The sequence below is a fragment of the Homo sapiens genome, chromosome 12 (assembly GCF_000001405.40).
Source record: "Homo sapiens chromosome 12, GRCh38.p14 Primary Assembly".
Classification (NCBI taxonomy): Eukaryota; Metazoa; Chordata; class Mammalia; order Primates; family Hominidae; genus Homo; species Homo sapiens.
The window spans coordinates 98444797-98464278 of record NC_000012.12 but is presented as its reverse complement, the minus strand read 5'-3'; the positions used below and the strand labels follow the sequence as shown (position 1 = coordinate 98464278).

The window sequence follows — 19482 nt, the reverse complement described above, 5'->3', positions numbered from 1 at the left end:
CACAGCTGAAGTCAACTTTCTATTATTTCTGGGTCTTATGCATTTAATGAGTTACAATGTCCTTCATTTCTCCCTCTTCAATATGATCATGTCACAGTTCATAAAAGTGAGGGAAAGAACTCTAGATACAATCTGACTTCTATCTTAGATGTAGGAAAAACCTTTGTAAATTCAATGTTAATTTCTAGAAACACTCTAGGATGGTTTACTAAGCAGATGATATGTGAGCACTTAAAAGAGAATATTTTTTGATCATCAGGAGTTGCATGGATTTTCTGGGATTCAGAATTACTTTGACCAGTCTAAGCACTTGGCTGAAACCAGCAAGGTGAAATGGAGAGGGAATAATAGAGCTAAAATCTACTGTTTCCTAGCAAATGGTTAGGCACTGTGTTAGATGTTATCTCATTTAATCAGCGCTGAAACTCCTGAGTGTAGATATTGCTATTAAAATGCCTTTTTTTTTTTTTTTTGAGGTGGACTCTGGCTCTGTCACCCCGGCTGGAGGGCAGTGGCAGAATCTTGGCTCACTGCAACCTCCGCCTCCTGGGTTCAAGCAATTCTCCTGTCTCAGCCTCCTGAGTAGCTGGGATTACAGGCACCTGCCACCATGCCTGGCTAATTTTTGAATTTTTAGTAGAGATGGGGTTTCACCATGTTGGCCAGGCTGGTCTTGAACTCCTGACCTCAGGCCACCCACCTCAGCCTCCCAAAGTGCTGGAATTACAGGCATGAACCACTGCACCCGGCCGATATTACTATTAAAATTCTTATTTTACAGATGGGGAAACTGACTTGATGAAGTTAAGTGACTTGTCCCAGATTTTGTAAATAGAGATTAAATAGTTCATTCAAGATCATCGAACAAGGCAGTCTATCCCTAGAGCTGGCACTCTTTTCTCTCTCTCTTTTTTTGAGAAAAGGTCTTGCTCTGTCACCCAGACTGGAGTGCAGTGGCATGATCATGGCTCACTATATCCTCGACCTCTCAGGCTCAAGCAGATCGTCCCACCTCAGCCTCCCAAGTAGCTGGGAGCTGGGACTACAGGTGCACACCACCATACCTGGCAAATTTTAAAATTTTTTGTAGAGATAGAGTCTCCATATGCTGCCCAGGCTGCCCTAGAACCCCTGGGCTCAAGTGCTCCTGCCTCGGCCTCCCAAAGTTCTGGGATTACAGGTGTGAGCCACTGCACCCAGCCTGGAGCTTTTGTTCTTTTTTGTGAGATGGAGTCTCGCTCTGTCCCCCAGGCTGGAGTGCAGTAGTGCGATCTTAGCTCACTGAAACCTCCGCCTCCCAGGTTCAAGCAATTCTTCCTGCCTTGGCCTCCCTAGTAGCTGGGATTACAGGTGTGCGCCACCATGCCTGGCTAATTTTTGTATTTTTTAGTAGAGATGGGGTTTTGCCGTGTTGGTCAGGCTGGCCTTGAACTCCTGAGTTCAGGTAATCCACCCACCTGGGCCTCCCAAAGTGCTGGGATTACAGGCGTGAGCCACCAAGCCTGGCTGAGCTTTTGTTCTTAACCTCTGTATTGTGCTATGTGAAAGCTTAAAAAATGTAGAGACCAGGAGCAGTGGCTCATGCCTGTAATCCCAGAACTTGGAGAGGCCAAGGTAGATGGATTGCTTGAGCCCAGGAGTTTGAGACTGGCCTGGGCAACATGGCAAAACCCTATCTCTACCAAAAAAAACCTCCCAAAACCAGAAAACACAACAAAAATTAGCCAGGTATGGTGGTATGCTCCTGTGGTCCTACCTACTCAGAGGCTGTGGTGGTAGGATCGCTTGAGTCTGGGAGGTTGAAAGACTCTGTCAGAAAAAAAAAAAGTAGAAACACAGGAAGGGGAAGAGGGTTCCTAAATGGTACAAGAGAAAGAACTTGGTCTTTGGTGTCAGGCAGGTCTTGTTACAACTTTGGCTGGCTCTGCCATTTAGCAGTTAGTTGACCTCAGGCAAACTACTTAAACTCTACAAACCTCAGATTTCTCATCTGTAAAGTGGATGCAGTAATATATACCCCATAGAATTCCTGGGAGGATTAAGTATGATGAAATATAACCATACAACTAGGATTCATGGGATATGATCAGCATTGTACCAAGTGTTTTATTTTATTTTTGAGACAGGGTCTTCCTCTGTCACCCAGGCTGGAGTGCAGTGGCCTGAACATGGGTCACTGCAGCCTCGACCTCTTGAACTCAAGCAGTCCTCGCACCTCAGCCTCCCGAGTAGCTGAGACTACAGGCATGTGCCACCATGCCCAGCTAATTTTTTGGATTTTTTTTTTTTGTAAAGATGGGGTCTTGCTATATTCCCCAAGCTGGTCTCAAACTCCTGGGCTCAAGCAATCCTCCCACCTTGGCCTCACAAAGTACTGGGATTATAGGTATGAGCCACCACACCCAGCCCTGTACAGAGTATTTTTTTTTTTTTGAGACGGAGTCTCGCTCTGTCACCTAGGCTGGAGTACAGTGGCACAATCTCCGCTCACTGCAAGCTGCGCCTCCTGGGTTCACGCCATTCTCCTGCCTCAGCCTCCCGAGTAGCTGGGACTACAGGCACCTGCCACCACGCCTGGCTAATTTTTTGTATTTTTAGTAGAGATGGGGTTTCACCATGTTAGCCAGGATGGTCTCGATCTCCTGACCTTGTGATCCGCCTGCCTCGGCCTCCCAAAGTGCTGGGATTACAGGCGTGAGCCACCTGCCCGGCCATGTACAGAGTATTTTAATTAAGGCAATTTACTTAATCTTTACAACAACGCTTTGAGGCAGGTATGCTCATCATTACTATTTTACAGATGAGCAAACTAAGGCTTAGAGAGATTAAGCGACTTGCCCTTGGTTACACAGTCAGCCCATGGCAGAGCAGGAATTCAAACTCAGGAAGTATGAATCCACAGTATAAGCTCTCATCTGCTTTTACTGTGTTACCTTCCTATGTGAAAAAGACTTGGAAGTTGGAGTTATATACAAGCTTGATAGGATTCTACAAGTATAGCAGCTTGCAAAAGGCCCTAAATTCAGATTTAGGGTACATTTATACAAAAATGGCATCCAGTGCATATATTCTGTGCTGTTTTGATTGCATCTGCAGTATTGTGTTCAAATTTGAATGATACATTTTATTTTTTATTTTTGCTGAGACGGAGTTTCACTCTTGTTGCCCAGGCTGGAGTGCAGTGGCACAATCTCGGCTCACTGCAACCTCTGTATCCTGGGTTCAAGCGATTCTACTGCCTCAGCCTCCCTAGTAGTGGGATTACAGGTGCCCACCATCACACCCGGCTAATTTTTTGTATTTTTAGCAGAGATGAGGTTTCACCATGTTGGCCAGGCTGATCTCGACTCCTGACCTCAGGTGATCCACCTGCCTTGGCCTCCCAAAGTACTGGGATTACAGGCGTGAGCCACCGCGCCCAGCCCGGATGATACCTTTTAACAGAGATACTGAGAAATGGAAATAACTACGATGATGACAGAGGTTGGAAATAGTCGCAAGAGAGAAACAGCTGAAAATGTTTTGGTTTGATGAAGGCATGCAAGGGGTCAGAGAGGTAGATGTCTTTGGGAAAGGCTGTCCAGATAGGTTGACAGTACCTTGAGTCCTCTTAGTTCTTGGTCTTGCAGGTGCAAGGATTTCACTTTATCAGTTAATTAGTATTCAGAGTTGATCTTGGCAACTGACTCATTCTAACCAAACTTGTAAGAGACTGTTGCATATACCAGAATGCCAATTAATTAACTTAAAATTAGGAACATAAGCACCAAACAGATTTTATACATGTATTTGTTGATCAGAGCATCTTGTTTTTCTAGGAGTTTTATCTTCTGTCAGCAAATATACATAAAAACTGTGGGCCGGGCATGGTGGCTCACGCCTGTAATCCCAGCACTTTGGGAGGCCAAGGTGGGTGGATCACCAGAGGTCAGGAGTTTGAGACCAGCCTGGCCAACATGGTGAAACCCCGTCTCTACTAAAAATACAAAAATTAGCTGGATGTGGTGGCAGATGCCTATAATCCCAGCTACTCAGGAGGCTGAGTCAGGAGAATTGCTTGAAGCTTGGGAGGCGGGCAAAGGTTGCAGTGAGCCGAGATCATGCCACTGCGCTCCTTGCTGGGCAACAGAGTGAGAATCCATCTCAAAAAAGAAAACAAAACCAAACCCAAAAACTGTGGTAGGCTAAAAGTTGTTAGCTTGCAGGTAGGGTAAAACTGCAGACTCTTCTCAATTTCTGATTTAAAGTCATGGTCAAAAACTGATATCTCATATTTCATTCACTGATTTTATTAACTTGATTTATATCTCATTTTATTAATTTGTTTTATTCACATTTTATATGTGGTTTTGAACATTTGTATCTTGTCAAATCTGCAATGTAAACAAATATAAACAAATCTGCAAATTGTTTATATGCTTTACCCATTTTTTAACTGGGTTATTTTTAATTGAATAGTAGATTTTCTACTGGGTTGTTTCTTATTGATCGATATGTTCTTTTTTTTCTTTAAGACGGAGTCTCGCTCTGTTGCCCAGGCTGGAGTGCAGTGACACAATCTTAGCTCACTGCAGCCTCTGCTTCCCGGGTTCAAGCAATTCTCCTGCCTCAGCCTCCCGAGTAGCTGGGACTACAGGTGCTCACCACTACATCCAGCTAATTTTTTTGTATTTTTAGTAGAGACAGGGTTTTGCCATGTTGGCCAGGTGGTCTTGAACTCCTGACCTCAGGTGATCTGTCTGCCTCAGCCTCCCAAAGTGCTGGGATTACAGGCGTGTGCCATGCGCCTGGCCTGATCAATAGGTTCTTTATATAAACATATATCTAAAATATTCAGCTAAATTTAGATAATTCAGATAAAATGTTATATATATAATATGTATAAATAATAAAATAGGCCGGGAGCGATGGTTCACACCTGTAATCCCAGCACTTTGGGAGGCCAAGGCAGGTGGATCACCTAGGTCAGGAGTTCAAGACCAGCCTGGCCAACATGGTGAAACCCCGTCTCTACTTAAAATACAAAAATTAGCTGGGCGTGGTGGCACGTGCCTGTAATCCCAGCTACTTGGGAGGCTGAAGCAAGAGAATTACTTGAACCCAGGAGGTGCAGGTTGCAGTGAGCCGAGATGGCGCCATTGCACTCCAGCCTGGGCAACAAGAGCAAAACTCCATCTCCATAACTAAAATTAAAAAACAAAATAAAGTGAGGTATAAAATTTTGTTACACCAGTTGCAAATATTTTATGTAATAATTCAGTTACTTCTCGACTTTTTGTACCTTCTGTCATACGTGAATGCATTTGGCTCTCTGTTTTGTTAAGATAGCTTTCTCCCTCCAAGGTTTTAAATATATTTTCTCACATTTTTTCTGTTATTCTTTTTTTTTTTTTTGAGACAGAGTTTCGCTCTTTTTGCCCAGGCTGGAGTGCAATGGTGCCATCTCGGCTCACTGCAACCTCCGCTTCCAGGGTTCAAGTGATTCTCCTGCTTCGGCCTCCTGAGTAGCTAGGATTACAGGCACCCGTCACCATGCCCGGCTAAATTTTATTTTTGTATTTTTTTATTTTATTATTATTATTATACTTTAAGTTTTAGGGTACATGTGCACAATGTGCAGGTTACATATGTATATATGTGCCATGCTGGTGTGCTGCACCCATTAACTTGTCATTTAGCATTAGGTATATCTCCTAAAGCTATCCCTCCCCTCTCCGCTCCCCCCACAACAGTCCCCAGAGTGTGATGTTCCCCTTCCTGTGTCCATGTGTTCTCATTGTTCAATTCCCACCTATGAGTGAGAATATGCAGTGTTTGGTTTTTTGTTCTTGTGATAGTTTACTGAGAAAGATGATTTCCAATTTCATCCATGTCCCTACAAAGGACATGAACTCATCATTTTTTATGGCTGCATAGTATCCCATGGTGTATATGTGCCACATTTTCTTAATCCAGTCTATCATTGTTGGACATTTGGGTTGGTTCCAAGTCTTTGCTATTGTGAATAGTGCCACACTAAACATATGTGTGCATGTGTCTTTATAGCAGCATGATTTATAGTCCTTTGGGTATATACCCAGTAATGGGATGGCTGGGTCAAATGGTATTTCTAGTTCTAGATCCCTGAGGAATCGCCACACTAACTTCCACAAGGGTTGAACTAGTTTACAGTCCCACCAACAGTGTAAAAGTGTTCCTATTTCTCCACATCCTCTCCAGCACCTGTTGTCTCCTGACTTTTTAATGATGGCCATTCTAACTGGTGTGAGATGGTATCTCATTGTGGTTTTGATTTGCATTTCTCTGATGGCCAGTGATGGTGAGCATTTTTTCATGTGTTTTTTGGCTGCATAAATGTCTTCTTTTGAGAAGTGTCTGTTCATGTCCTTTGCCCACTTTTTGATGGGGTTGTTTGTTTTTTTCTTGTAAATTTGTTTGAGTTCATTGTAGATTCTGGATATTAGCCCTTTGTCAGATGAGTAGGTTGCGAAAATTTTCTCCCATTCTGTAGGTTGCCTGTTCACTCTGATGGTAGTTTCTTTTGCTGTGCAGAAGCTCTTGAGTTTAATTAGATCCCATTTGTCAATTTTGGATTTTGTTGCCATTGCTTTTGGTGTTTTAGACATGAAGTCCTTGCCCATGCCTATGTCCTGAATGGTAATGCCTAGGTTTTCTTCTAGGGTTTTTATGGTTTTAGGTCCAACATTTAAGACTTTAATCCATCTTGAATTAATTTTTGTATAAGGTGTAAGGAAGGGATCCAGTTTCAGCTTTCTACATATGGCTAGCCAGTTTTCTCAACACCATTTATTAAATAGGGAATCCTTTCCCATTTTTTTTTTTTTTTTTTTTTTTTTTTTTTGTATTTTCAGTGGAGACGGGGGTTTCCTCATGTTGGCCAGGCTGGTCTTGATCTCCTGACCTCAGGTGATCCACCCCCCTCACTCTCCCAAAGTGCTAGGATTACAGGCGTGGGCCACTGCTCCCGGCCTTGGTTATTCTTCTAAAAACTACATTTTAAATACAATTGGAGGCGCTGCTCTGGGCCCAGTCCCGGCCCGGCGCGAGTAGGAGGAGGAGCTGCGGTGGCTGCGGCCACTCGCGCAGGTCGGCGGTGCTGCTGGTCCCCGGGCAGAGGAGGCGTGGGCGGCTCCGGGACCACGGAGCCTGGTGACGCGGCGCTCCCCTGCCCGGGTCGGGTTGCCCAGGCGCCGCCGCGGCGGCTGCTGCTGCTGCTGCCGCTGCTGCTGGGTAGGGGACTTCGAGTAACGGCCGAGGCCTCGGCCTCCTCCTCTGGGGCGGCGGTCGAGAACAGCAGCGCCATGGAGGAGCTCGTCACTGAGAAGGAGGCGGAAGAGAGCCACCGGCCAGACAGTGTGAGCCTGCTCACCTTCATCCTGCTGCTCACGCTGGCCATCCTCACCATATGGCTCTTCAAGTACTGCCGGGTGCACTTTCTGCATGAGACCGGGCTGGCCATGATCTGTGGGCTCATCGTTGGGGTGATCCTGAGGTATGGTACCCCTGGCACCAGGGGCCGTGACAAATTACTCAATTGCACTCAAGAAGATCAGGCCTTCAGCACTTTAGTAGTGGATGTCAGCGGTAAATTCTTCGAATACACCCTGAAAAGAGAAATCAGCCCTGGCAAGATCAACAGCGTAAAGCAGAATGACATGCTAGGGAAGGTAACATTCGACCCATAGGTATTTTTCAACATTCTTCTGCCTCCAGTTATTTTCCATGCTGGATACAGCTTAAAGAGACACTTTTTTAGAAATCTTGGGTCACTCCTTCTTGGGGACTGCTGTTTCGTGCTTCCGTATTGGAAATCTCAGGTATGGTATGGTGAAGCTCATGAGGATTATGAGACAGCTCTCAGATAAATTTTACTACACACATTGTCTCTTTTTTAGAGCAATCATCTCTGCCACTGACCCAGTGACTGTGCTGGTGATATCAATGAATTGCATGCAGACATGGATCTTTATGTACTTCTGTTTGGAGAGAGCATCCTAAATGACGTTGTTATGTTGTACTTTCCTCATCTATTGTTGGCTACCAGCCAGCAGGACTGAACTTCAACTCACGCCTTTGATGCTGCTGCCTTTTTAAAGTCAGTTGGCATTTTTCTAGGTATATTTAGTGGCTGTTTTACCATGGGAGCTGTGACTGGTGTTGTGACTGCTTTAGTGACCAAGTTTACCAAACTGGACTGCTTTCCCCTGCTGGAGACGGCGCTCTTCTTCCTCATGTCCTGGAGCACGTTTCTCTTGGCAGAAGCTTGCGGATTTACAGGCGTTGTAGCTGTCCTTTTCTGTGGAATCACACAAGCTCATTACACCTTCAACAATCTGTCGGTGGAATCAAGAAGTCGAAGCAAGCAGCTCTTTGAGGCAGAGAACTTCATCTTCTCCTGCATGATCCTGGCGCTATTTACCTTCCAGAAGCACGTTTTCAGCCCTGTTTTCATCATTGGAGCTTTTGTTGCTGTCTTCCTGGGCAGAGCCGCCCATATCTACCCGCTCTCTTTCTTCCTCAGCTTGGGCAGAAGGCATAAGATTGGCTGGAATTTTCAACACACGATGATGTTTTCAGGCCTCAGGGGAGCAATGGCATTTGCGTTGGCCATCTGTGACACGGCATCCTATGCTCGCCAGATGACGTTCCCCACCACGCCTTTCATCGTGTTCTTCACCATCTGGATCATTGGAGGAGGCACGACACCCATGTTGTCATGGCTTAATATCAGAGTTAGCATCAAGGAGCCCTCCAAAGAGGACCACAACGAACACCACCGACAGTACTTCAGAGTTGGTGTTGACCCTGATCAAGATCCACCACCCAACAATGACAGCTTTCAAGTCTTACAAGGGGACAGCCCAGATTCTGCCAGAGGAAACTGGACAAAACAGGAGAGCACATGGATATTCAGGCGGTGGTACAGCTTTGATCACAATTACCTGAAGCCCATCCTCACACACAGCGGCTCCCCGCTAACCACCACTCTCCCGCCTGGTGGAGACACAGCGGCTCCCCGCTAACCACCACTCTCCTGCCTGGTGTAGACAAAGCGGCTCCCCGCCAACCACCACTCTCCCGCCTGGTGTAGCTTGCTAGCTTGATGTCTGACCAGTCCCCAGGTGTACGATAACCAAGAGCCACTGAGAGAGGGAAACTCTGATTTTATTCTGACTGAAGGCGACCTCACATTGACCTATGGGGACAGCACAGTGACTGCAAATGGCTTCTCAGGTTCCCACACTGCCTCCACGAGTCTGGAGGGCAGCTGGAGAATGAAGAGCAGCTCAGAGGAAGTGCTGGAGCAGGACGTGGGAATGGGAAACCAGAAGGTTTCGAGCCAGGGTACCCGCCTAGTGTTTCCTCTGGAAGATAATGTTTGACTTTCCCTGCAAACCCTGGCACGATGGGGTAGGCTCCCAATGGGGTGAGGATGGCTTCAAGCCCTAATGTTGCTTGAGGTGGGGCAGTGACTAGATTGAATTAACTCTTCTATTTTATTGGGGTCTGAAGTTATTGTAACACTTAAAATTTAACTCATGATGCAGATGGTGAGGCAAAAGTGTCTCTAAATTCAGACAAATGTAGACCTATTTCTACTTTTTTTCACACAGTAGTGCGCTGTTTCAGAGTTAAACAAACAAAAAAATAGCATACTTTAATGGTCTCTTAATTCATTCACCTGCAGTGTCTGAACAAGGCAGGGCAGGTGCTGAGTGGGGGGCTTCCTCTTACAAGAGGTTGCATCTCAGTACACAGTGGTGCAAGTCAAGCTGACCATAGAAATATCAAGTTAGGGGAGAACAGGCTGGAAGAAAGATTGAGAAGGAAGGCAATTGAGATAGGACCTCCAAGGATTATGGGAAACTGTTGTTAAATGGAACAGAAAACATGAAAAAATAATATGAGTGGAGGCTCTGGCAAGGAAGGCTGTGTGACTGCAACCTCATATCAGGATTCCTGACTTTTATGCTACCTGTGTTTCTTCTAGACTGAAGATTTGAAAATATATCCATGAACATTTCAACATGAAACAAAGAATTATAGTTCCTTCTCTGGAGATGTCCATAAAGAAGTAATTATGATATGTTTAAAACCAGACCGGGTGTGGGGGCTCACGCCTGTAATCCCAGCACTTTGGGAGGCCGAGGCCGGCGCATCATCTGAGGTCAGGAGTTCAAGACCAGCCTGGCCAACATGGTGAAACCCCGTCTCTACTAAAAAATACAAATATTAGCCAGGCGTGGTGGCAAGCACCTTAATCCCAGCTACTTGGGAGGCAGAGGCAGGAGAATCGTTTGAACCCAGGAGGCTGAGGTTGCAGTGAGCCCAGATAAAGCCACTGCACTCAAACGTGGGGAACAAGAGTGAGACTTCTCTCAAAAAATAAATAAATAAATAAAATAATATAAAATAAACCAAAGGCAAATAGTGTTACACTGTTAATTTTTAGTTAATCTGAAGAAAGGAGGTATTTAGAAACTGATGATGGTATCACTGCAAAAAGCATTAAACTTTTGAGGGCTACCATATGAGCTGACAGCCTAGGAAATAATTAGTAAGACTGAGGTATCTACTGTGGGTTTAGAAATAACACCAAATTTTGTAGGATGCTATTATCTGGGGAAGAGAAGGCAGCAAGAAACCTACAAGGCAACAGGCTAGAAATCAGAGGGAAAGAAATCTCTATGCAAAAAATTAACTGCAAAGAAATACAAGATGGTAGTCTCAAGACCGGGTAGAATTCTGAACTTTGAGCTGTCGAATGCATGAGATTTCAGTGGCCACATGAGGAATCAGTGGGAAGTCAATGGAACGTTAAGTATTTTCAACCCACTAGAAGGTCCTGTCTTCTATAAGTTTAAGAATCTAAGTGTCTTTATGCCATTGAGTGCGGTGCAGAGAAGGGTCATTTTCCCTTTATCTGGGGAGGCTGCTTCACCAGCCTACCATGTGGGTGTGATTTGAAAGTTAGGTTTTCAGTTTGGGTTCTTTCTGGATGAGCTGTTCTGTCCGCCCACACCTGTAGTGCTGAAATACTGAAAGATCTCTCCGGAAAAGTTTGAGTTTCTCCCCATGTTTCTGTGCTTCAGCAATAGCATTTTTTTGGCAACCCAATTTCTAAAAAATGCTTTCAATAATGTGGGCATTTTCTTATTATGGCAGAAAAAATAGTGTCCCAGTCTAGTCTACCATAATGAAATCAGCCATTTAATCTTCTCAATTTGCATGTTTAATGGTTAATTTTTAAATAAGACATTGCTTCACATCTTTTTTTTTTTTTTTTTTTTTTGAGATGGAGTCTTGCTCTTTCGCCCGGGCTGGAGTGCAGTCGTGCAACCTCGGCTCGCTGCAATCTCTGCGCCCCCAGGTTCACGTGATTCTCCTGCCTCAGCCTCCCTAGTAGCTGGGATTGCAGGCACCCACCACCACACCTGGCTAATTTTGTATTTTTAGTAGAGATGGGGTTTTGCCATGTTGGCCAGGCTGGTCTTGAACTGCTGACCTCAGGTGATCCACCTGCCTTGGCCTCCCGAAGTGCTAGGATTACAGGCATGAGCCACCATGCCCGGCCTGCGTCATAACTTTGTGTTTGAATTGATAATTTGTGCAAATCAGGAAAATATATATTTAATTAAGTTGAGCCATATGAATTTGCTGATATTCAACCATTTTGTAAAAACAGGAGTGGCAATTTCATATGGTTCAATAAAATAAAATTGAGGCCGGGCACAGTGGCTTACACCCATAATCCCAACACTTTGGGAGGCTGAAGCAGGAGGATCGCTTGAGCTCAGGAGTTTGAGACCAGACTGAGCAACATGGCAGAACTCTGTCTCTACAAAAATACAAAAATGAGACAGGCATGGTGGCACATACCTTTAGTTCAGTTCTAGGTGATTGGGAGGCTGAGGTGGGAGGATCGCTTGAACCCAAGAGGCAGAGGATGCAGTGAGCCAAGATCATACCACTGGAAACCAGTCTGGGCAACAGAGTGAGAACCTGTCTCAAACAAACAAACAAACTGGAATTTATTTTTATGTATGGTATGAGAAAGGGATTTGTTTTTTTTTTTTTTTTTTTTTTTTTTTGATATGGAGTCTTACTCTGTTGCCCAGGCTGGAGTGCAGTGGCGCCATCTTGGCTCACTGCAACTTCTGCCTCCTTTCCTTTGTTCAAGCGATTCTCTTGTCCCTGAGTAGCTGGGATTACAGGCACCGGCCACCACGCCCAGCTATTTTTTGTATTTTTAGTAGAGACAGGGTTTCACCATGTTGGCCAGGCTGGTCTCAAACTCCTGACCTCAGGCATTCTGCCCCCCTTGGCCTCCGAAAGTGCTGGGATCACAGGCATGAGCCACTGTGCCCAGTCTGAGAAAGGGATTTAATTTACTTTTTTTCTTCCAAATGGATAGCTCCTTGTCCCAACACTCTCTATTAGTCTGTCATTTCCCAAGTGATTTTAAATGTCTCCTTTAACATATACTAAGATTACACACACACACACACACACACACACACACACATACACACAAATGGACACATATATGTGTGTGTGTGTATATATATTTTTCTGGACTTTTAAATTCTATTGTATTGATCCATTGGTCTGTTTTTCACAGTACTATTTCAATTATTGTGACTTTACAACATAGTTAACATCTGGTAAAGTTCTTTCTCTAATGAATCTTAACTTTTTTTGGCCCAACTCATAGATGAACTTTAAAATTAACTTGCCAATTCTATAAAATATGCTGTTGGAATTTTGATAAAATTATATTACATTTATTATTTAATTTGGGGGCATAATATCTGTATATTATTGAGTCTTTTCATCTAGAAATATCTTTTATGGCCTTCATTAAAATTATATGGTTATCCTCAAGAATTTTCTTTTCTTTTTTTTTGAGACAGGGTCTCACTCTGTCACCCAGGCTGGAGTGGAGTGGCACAATTTCTGCTCACTCAACTTCCTAGGCCCAGGTGATCCTCCCACCGCAGCCTCCCAAGTAGCTGGGACTATAGGCATGTGCCACCACACCTGGCTGATTTTTTGTAGAGACTGGGTTTCGCTACATTGCCCAGGCTGTTCTTGAACTCCTGGACTCAGGTGATCCGCCCATGTCAGCCTCCCAAAGTGCTAGGGTTACAGGCATGAGCTACCATGCCTGGCAACAGCTTTCATATTTGTAAGTTTTTTTTCCTAGGTAACCCAAGGTCTATTGAAATTGCATATAGCTTTCTTTTCTATTACATATTTAAATAGATTTTTTCTGATTTTAGAAAAGCTGTAGATTTTTATATGTTAATCTTGTTTCCTTTCTGAAAGTTTTTATTAGCCCATATAGATTTATGTGATTCACTGGATTTTCTAGGTATAAATCTACCTTGCCAATATTCATACTTATTTCTTTTTTTTCTGGTATTTTTACGTTGCCTGGTAACTCTAGGAAAATGTCTACTATTGATGATAAAAGTAAGCATCATTATGTGTTGTTTCTGAGTTCTATGGAGATGTGGTCTAATGTTTTGTTCTTCAGAATAATGTTTGGAGATTGGCAAAATGTTGATTATTGTTGAAGATGAGTGACAGGTCCATAGCGGCCATTAATCTATTTTCTCTATGCTTGTGTATGTTTGAAAATTTCCATAATAAAAGAGTTAAATTCTACAAAGAGTCAAATTTAAAAAAAGAACAAGACTTGTTTTAGGTTTTTGTTAGAAACCCCTTTTCAGGCTGCGTGTGGTGGCTCACACCTGTAATCCCAGCACTTTGGGAGGCTGAGGCGGGCAGATCACCTGAAGTCAGGAGTTTGAGACCAGCCTGGCCAACATAGTGAAACCTTGTCTCGATTAAAAATACAAAAATTAGCTGGGCGTGGTGGTGGGCATCTGTAATCCCAGCTACTTGGGAGGCTGAGGCAGGAGAATTGCTTGCATCCGGAAGGTGGAGGTTGCAGTGAGCTGAAATCACACCATTGCACTCCAGCCTGGGTGACAGAGTGAGACTCTATCTAAAAAAAAAAAAGAAAAGAAAAAGAAAATATCTTTTCCTAGTTTATTGTAAATTATTTTATTAGAAGTGGATGGAGAATTAATTGTATCATCAGAAAAATATCTTTTAAAAGAAAAGGTATCACAGGAGCCATCCATCTCAGAAAAGCAAGGAAAAAAAATATGAGACTTTCAATATTAAAAATGACCAAATATTTAGATTTGCTTCTCTCTCTTTCTTTTCATTAACTGACGCTTACCATTAGAGGAGAGGTGACTCTAGGGCCTAGCATATTGCTGAAAACACAGAAGGGAATAAATAAATTATGTATCGTCGGAGGTTTTTACTGGGGAGAGAGCTGTAGGTAATTGTTGCACCACACAGATGCTCCCTCCAGGACTGAAGGACTTACCCCTCCAGCTGCTGGGATTATAGTTGGCTGACACTCTCCAGCAGCTGGCAGTTTCCAGGAACTGCCTGTGGCTGAAGAGAACCACCTTACTCAAAGTTCTACCCTCCTCCTAGGGGCAGCTGCATCCAATGACTGGCCTATGTGGAGGTATAAATCCATCTTGCCAATATTCATACTTATTTACATAATTTACAATATTCATACTTAAAGATTCTGTGCCCTTACCCAACTCAGGATAGGCTAAAAGAACTAGCCCAGCTTGGCCGGGTGCACTGGCTCACGCCTGTAATCCTAGCACTTTGGGAGGCCGAGGCGGGCGGATCACGAGGTCAGGAGATTGAGACCATCCTGGCTAACACAGTGAAAACCCATCTCTACTAAAAAATACAAAAAAATTAGCAGGGCATGGTGGCAGGCGCCTGTAGTCCCAGCTACTTGGGAGGCTGAGGCAGGAGAATGGCATGAATCCGGGAGGCGGAGCTTTTGGTGAGCCGAGATCGCGCCACTGCACTCCAGCCTGGGTGACAGAGCGAGACTCCGTCTCAAAAAAAAAAAGAAAAAAATTAGTTGGGCGTGGTAACGCACGCCTGTAATCCCAGCTACTTGGGAGGCTGAGACAAGAGAATCACTCGAACCCGGAAGGCAGAGGCTGCAGTGAGCCTGCCACTGCACTCCAGCCTGGGCGACAGAGTGAGACTCTCTCTGCAAAAAAATAAAAATTAAAAAATGATAAAATGTTGCCAGGCGTGGTGGCTCACGCCTATCATCCCAGCACTTTGGGAGGCCGAGGTGGGTGGATCACTTGAGCTCAGGAGTTTGAGACCAGCCTTGGCAACATGGCGAAACGCTGTCTCTATTAAAATAAACAAAAAACAAAGAACAAAAATTCGCTGGGTGTGGTGGTGGGCGCCTGTAGTCCCAGCTACTCAGGAGGCTGTAGTGGGAGGATCGCTTGAGCCTGGGAGGCAACGAGCTGAGATTGCGCCACTGCACTCCAGCCTGGGCGACAGAGGAAGACCCTGTCTCAAACAAACAAACAAGCAAAATAACATGTGAATGCATATTTGCATAACAATTAACTTTCCATTAAAAATCCTCAAGAATTTTTTCACTGTTCATTGTGTTCTGTCGTAGTTATTGTTTGTTTCCTATATTTGAAATTCTTTGCAGTCTTTTTCCTTAGCATCCTTGTCTTGTTTCCTCTTTGTCCCTGTGTGTATTTTTAAAGCTTTCTCTTCGCAATGGTAAAGTCAGCAGCTGGCTCTAACTCCTGTTTAGATACCAGTTGGAGGCCTTCGTTGAATGAAAGAAGATCCATTAAAAGAAGAAGTAATTATGCATCTTGTTTATTTGGTAACAGGCAATTACCTTAAGTCTTACGGTCTCAGAATGTCTAATTGATCAGCATTCTCTGATTTTAAAAGGTTTGTGTTTTTAAAGTTTACAACTCAGCTATTTGAACTTGAAATACATTTTCTTGTAGAAACTGCAATAAAATGGTGTTTAAGACTCCTAGACCAGCCCATTGAAGCCCATAATACAGCAGAAATGTTTTACTGTCATTAGAAATAATTAGAAACATTTCCAATGATAGTTTTACAAAAGGAATACATTTAAAGAATAGAAACATAAACTGAGAAAAGGGTGTAAAAATAGATGAATGTTGATGCTTGAGGAAAAGCAAGCACTTAGACAATGAGGAGGGAGATGGCCACATTTGCTGTTTACTGAGCATATTGGTCGGGATTAAGGTCTTTTAATTGGAGGTAGTGAGTTTAGTCTCAGTTCAAAAATGGCATGAGGAGCTGGGCATGGTGGCTCATGCCTGTAATCCCAGCACTTTGGGAGGCCGAAGCAGGCAGATCACTTGAGGTCAGGAGTTTGAGACCAGCCTGGCCAACATGGTGAAACCCCATCTCTACTAAAAATATAAAAATTAGCTAAGTGTGGTGGCGCATGCCTGTAGTCCCAGCTACTCGGGAGGCTGAGGCAGGGGAATCGCTTGAACCTTAGAGGCAGAGGTTGCAGTGAGCTGAGATCACATCGCTGCACTCTGGCCTGGACAACAGAGCGAGACTCTGTCTCAAAAAAAAAAAAAAAAAAAAAAGGCATGAAGAGAATGATTGACAGAAGATTTTCTGGAATGAGACAACCACCCAGAGGCTGGGAGAGGTTGGGAAGGGAGAAGAGGCAATACAGATAGGCAGGTCCGTGCAAAGAAGAGCTTCTGGGAGGTGAAATTAGCTGAGTGAAAAGTGAGAAAAGGCTGGAGCCAGGGGAGAGGGGAGGGTCTCTGGATGCAGGACGTGCTGTGCCAGGATGTGACTGGTTAGTGAGGAAACCTGGTGTCTGTGGGACAGGAGCCCCCATGGGCTGCTTACTTTCTGCTCAGCCACGTCGGGGTTTTCTCTCAGTCATTCTCCCCAGGCTCCCGAGGGCACTTCAGATTTTCTTAGGTGAGGAGTTGGGGGTTGATGGGAGACAAGAGCTTGGAATATTTCTTTGAGAAAATTGGGAGAAATATTGTATTGCCTCATACAATAGTTGTATTGTTTTGTGTGTGTGTGTGTGTGTGTGTGTGTGTAAGAGAGAGAAACATCTTCCCACAGAGGAATTATACTGCCTTTCCTGGGAGGTACTAATACCTTCAGTGTGGCTGGTACCAGGAGACCCGACTGTGCAGTAAGAATGAAGTAGGGAGCGTGATGCATTATAGGAAATTAAGCCAACTAGTTTATTCCTGTTCAAAATGTTTGTTTTTGTTTTGCTTGAAATAAATTAGTTGTAAATAGAAGTCTAAATAAAACACAACTCCAGGAAAGAATGAAATCTCACAATGGTGCAACCACTGCTTAATAATTTCCTGCTTGTCTCCAAATGGACCAATTGCAGAAGGATTGGGGGAGATTTCATCTTACAACATGTTATGACAGAGAAGGAAGGGTTAAGAAATCATTCCATCTCATTGCCACATGTCTGGTGTACTTACAATAACTAGAGATTTTCTGGGATGCCCTCAATTCAAATATTCTGTTATGTTGACTTATGTACATTCCTACTTGTCAGATTGCAGCTCCCAAGTTCTGTTCAGAAGGTAGAGTTGGCATAGAAGTTCAGTAGCAGATTCCTAGCTGGTGTTCTCAACCCGACTCCTCTCTTCTATTAGAAGATGTTATCTATTAGATATTATCATTTATTTTTGTTTAAACAAAACAAAACGCTTATATGTGCCAATGCTTACAGAAACTCTGTAAGTTACAGAAATTTTGATAGTTCTCTATTATACATTGCAACAAGCCCAGACTTTTTTTTTTCTAGCATTAGAGAATTTGTCCTACTTAGGTAACTTTCTTTCTCCTGCTTCCTGGACACCCACCTTTTGTGCCAATCAAGTAGCTCTGTTCTCTTTTCCCTGCAACTGCCCTATTCATTCCTATCTGCTTTGCTTCCTTTCTATGTCTAAGTTTCTCTCCTGGGATGCTTTCCTCCTTTCTTTACTTATTAGAACTAAACTCACTTGTAAAATCTTAGCTGGAGTCTGACATCAAGCGAAACAAAGCACAGTATAGAGCTCATAGAGAATAGAAGATCTTTGTTCTTAAAGGGCCCTAGATGAGCCACTGCAAATGTGATCAGTATATTGAATGTACTGGCCTTGGGTGCTGTGTTAGTCTGCATTCTCCAGAGAAACAGAACAAGAGGAGTTCTATCAAGAGACTTACTATAAAGAATTAGCTCACATGATTATGGAGACAGAGAAGTCCCAAGATCTGCAGTCAGCAAGCTGGAGACCCAGGAGAGATGGTAATGTATTTCCAGTCCAAGTTTGAAGACCTGAGAACCAGGAGCACTGGTAGTGTAAGTTCTAGTCTGAGTCCAAGTCCAAAGGCAGGAGAAGACTGACTTTGCAGCTTGAAGACAGGCAGAGAACTAATTATTATTATTATTTTTCTCAACTTTTTATTCTACTAAGATCTTCAACAGATTGGATGAAGCCCACCCAAAGCAATCTGCTTTACTACCCTACTACCCTACTAATTTAATTTTTTTTTTTTTGAGACGGAGTCTTGCTCTGTCACCCAGGCTGGAGTGCAGTGGCACGATCTCTCTCTGCTCACTGCAACTTCTGCCTCCCAGGTTCAATCGATTCTCCTGCCTCACCCTCCTGAGTAGCTGGGATTACAGGCATGCACCAGCACGCCAGGAAAATTTTTGTAATTTTAGTAGAGATGGGGTTTCACCATGTTGGCCAGGCTGATACCAAATTCCTGACCTCAGGTTATCCGCCTGCCTCAGCCTCCCAAAGTGCTGGGATTACAGGTGTGAGCCACCGCACCCGGCCTAATTCAAATGTTATTTTCACCTCGAAACATCCTCACAGACACACCAGAAGTAATGTTTAATCTGGGCACTCCATGGCCCAGTCATGTTGACACAAAAATTAACCATCACATTGGCTGAGTGCGGTGACTCACGCCTGTAATCCCAGCATTTTATGAGGATGAGGTGGGTGGATCACCTGAGGTCAGGAGTTTGAGACCAGCCTGGCCAACATGATAAAACCCCATCTCTCCTAAAAATACAAAATTAGCCGGGTGTGGTGGTGCATGCCTGTAATCCCAGCTACTTGGGAGGCTGAGGCAGGAGAATTACTTGAATCTGAGAGGCAGAGGTTGCAGTGAGCTGAGATTGCACCATTGCATTCAAGCCTAGGCTACAAGACCAAAACTCCATCTCAAAAACAAACAATCAAAAACAATGAAAAAACAAAATTAACCATCACAGGTGCTATTCCAGCAGGAAACCATTGTATTCTTTGTCACCATTGCCTTCTAATAAAATCCTCAAATAAACTTCATTCCAACATCCTGGATGGTGTCTCAGGCAGAGCCGTTTGTTTTTCTGGACATTAGGGATCAGGATAGTTTCAGCTATTATAAATTTCAGCCTGATCTGAATAAAAACTTTAATCACATCTCTAATTAAAAGGCTTTCTTTCCTTATTCTCCCAGAGGCTTGAAGTAGGAAAGGAGGAGGTAAGATTTGCCTTTTTC

The 19482-nt window shown here is 43.9% G+C and overlaps 1 pseudogene across 1 annotated transcript, besides 4 other annotated features; it reads left to right on the top strand.

Annotated features, from left to right (window-relative positions):
- Positions 177 to 550: a silencer, noted in NCBI's record as "fragment chr12:98857507-98857880 (GRCh37/hg19 assembly coordinates)". NCBI's record gives its function as "represses an EF-1alpha promoter that drives an FKBP-Casp9 reporter gene in an ReSE screen in both phorbol 12-myristate 13-acetate-treated (for megakaryocytic differentiation) and untreated K562 erythroleukemia cells {active_cell/tissue: K562 | K562(+PMA)}" and the evidence as "EXISTENCE:reporter gene assay evidence [ECO:0000049][PMID:32094911]".
- Positions 7067 to 7276: a silencer, noted in NCBI's record as "silent region_4751". NCBI's record gives its function as "represses an Ori minimal core promoter by ATAC-STARR-seq in GM12878 lymphoblastoid cells {active_cell/tissue: GM12878}" and the evidence as "EXISTENCE:reporter gene assay evidence [ECO:0000049][PMID:35858748]".
- Positions 7134 to 10439, top strand: SLC9A7P1 (solute carrier family 9 member 7 pseudogene 1; annotated as a pseudogene). The gene has a single exon (NR_033801.1). The product of NR_033801.1 is annotated as a solute carrier family 9 member 7 pseudogene 1 (transcript).
- Positions 18856 to 19025: an enhancer, noted in NCBI's record as "experimental_31344 CRE fragment used in MPRA reporter constructs". NCBI's record gives its function as "activates a minimal promoter by MPRAs in K562 erythroleukemia cells, with activity observed for the introgressed 12:98839117 or rs35394561 variant allele {active_cell/tissue: K562}" and the evidence as "EXISTENCE:reporter gene assay evidence [ECO:0000049][PMID:34662402]".
- Position 18940: a transcriptional cis regulatory region, noted in NCBI's record as "Neanderthal adaptively introgressed variant 12:98839117 (GRCh37/hg19 assembly coordinates) or rs35394561 in the experimental_31344 CRE". NCBI's record gives its function as "modulates activity of the experimental_31344 enhancer by MPRAs in K562 erythroleukemia cells {active_cell/tissue: K562}" and the evidence as "EXISTENCE:reporter gene assay evidence [ECO:0000049][PMID:34662402]".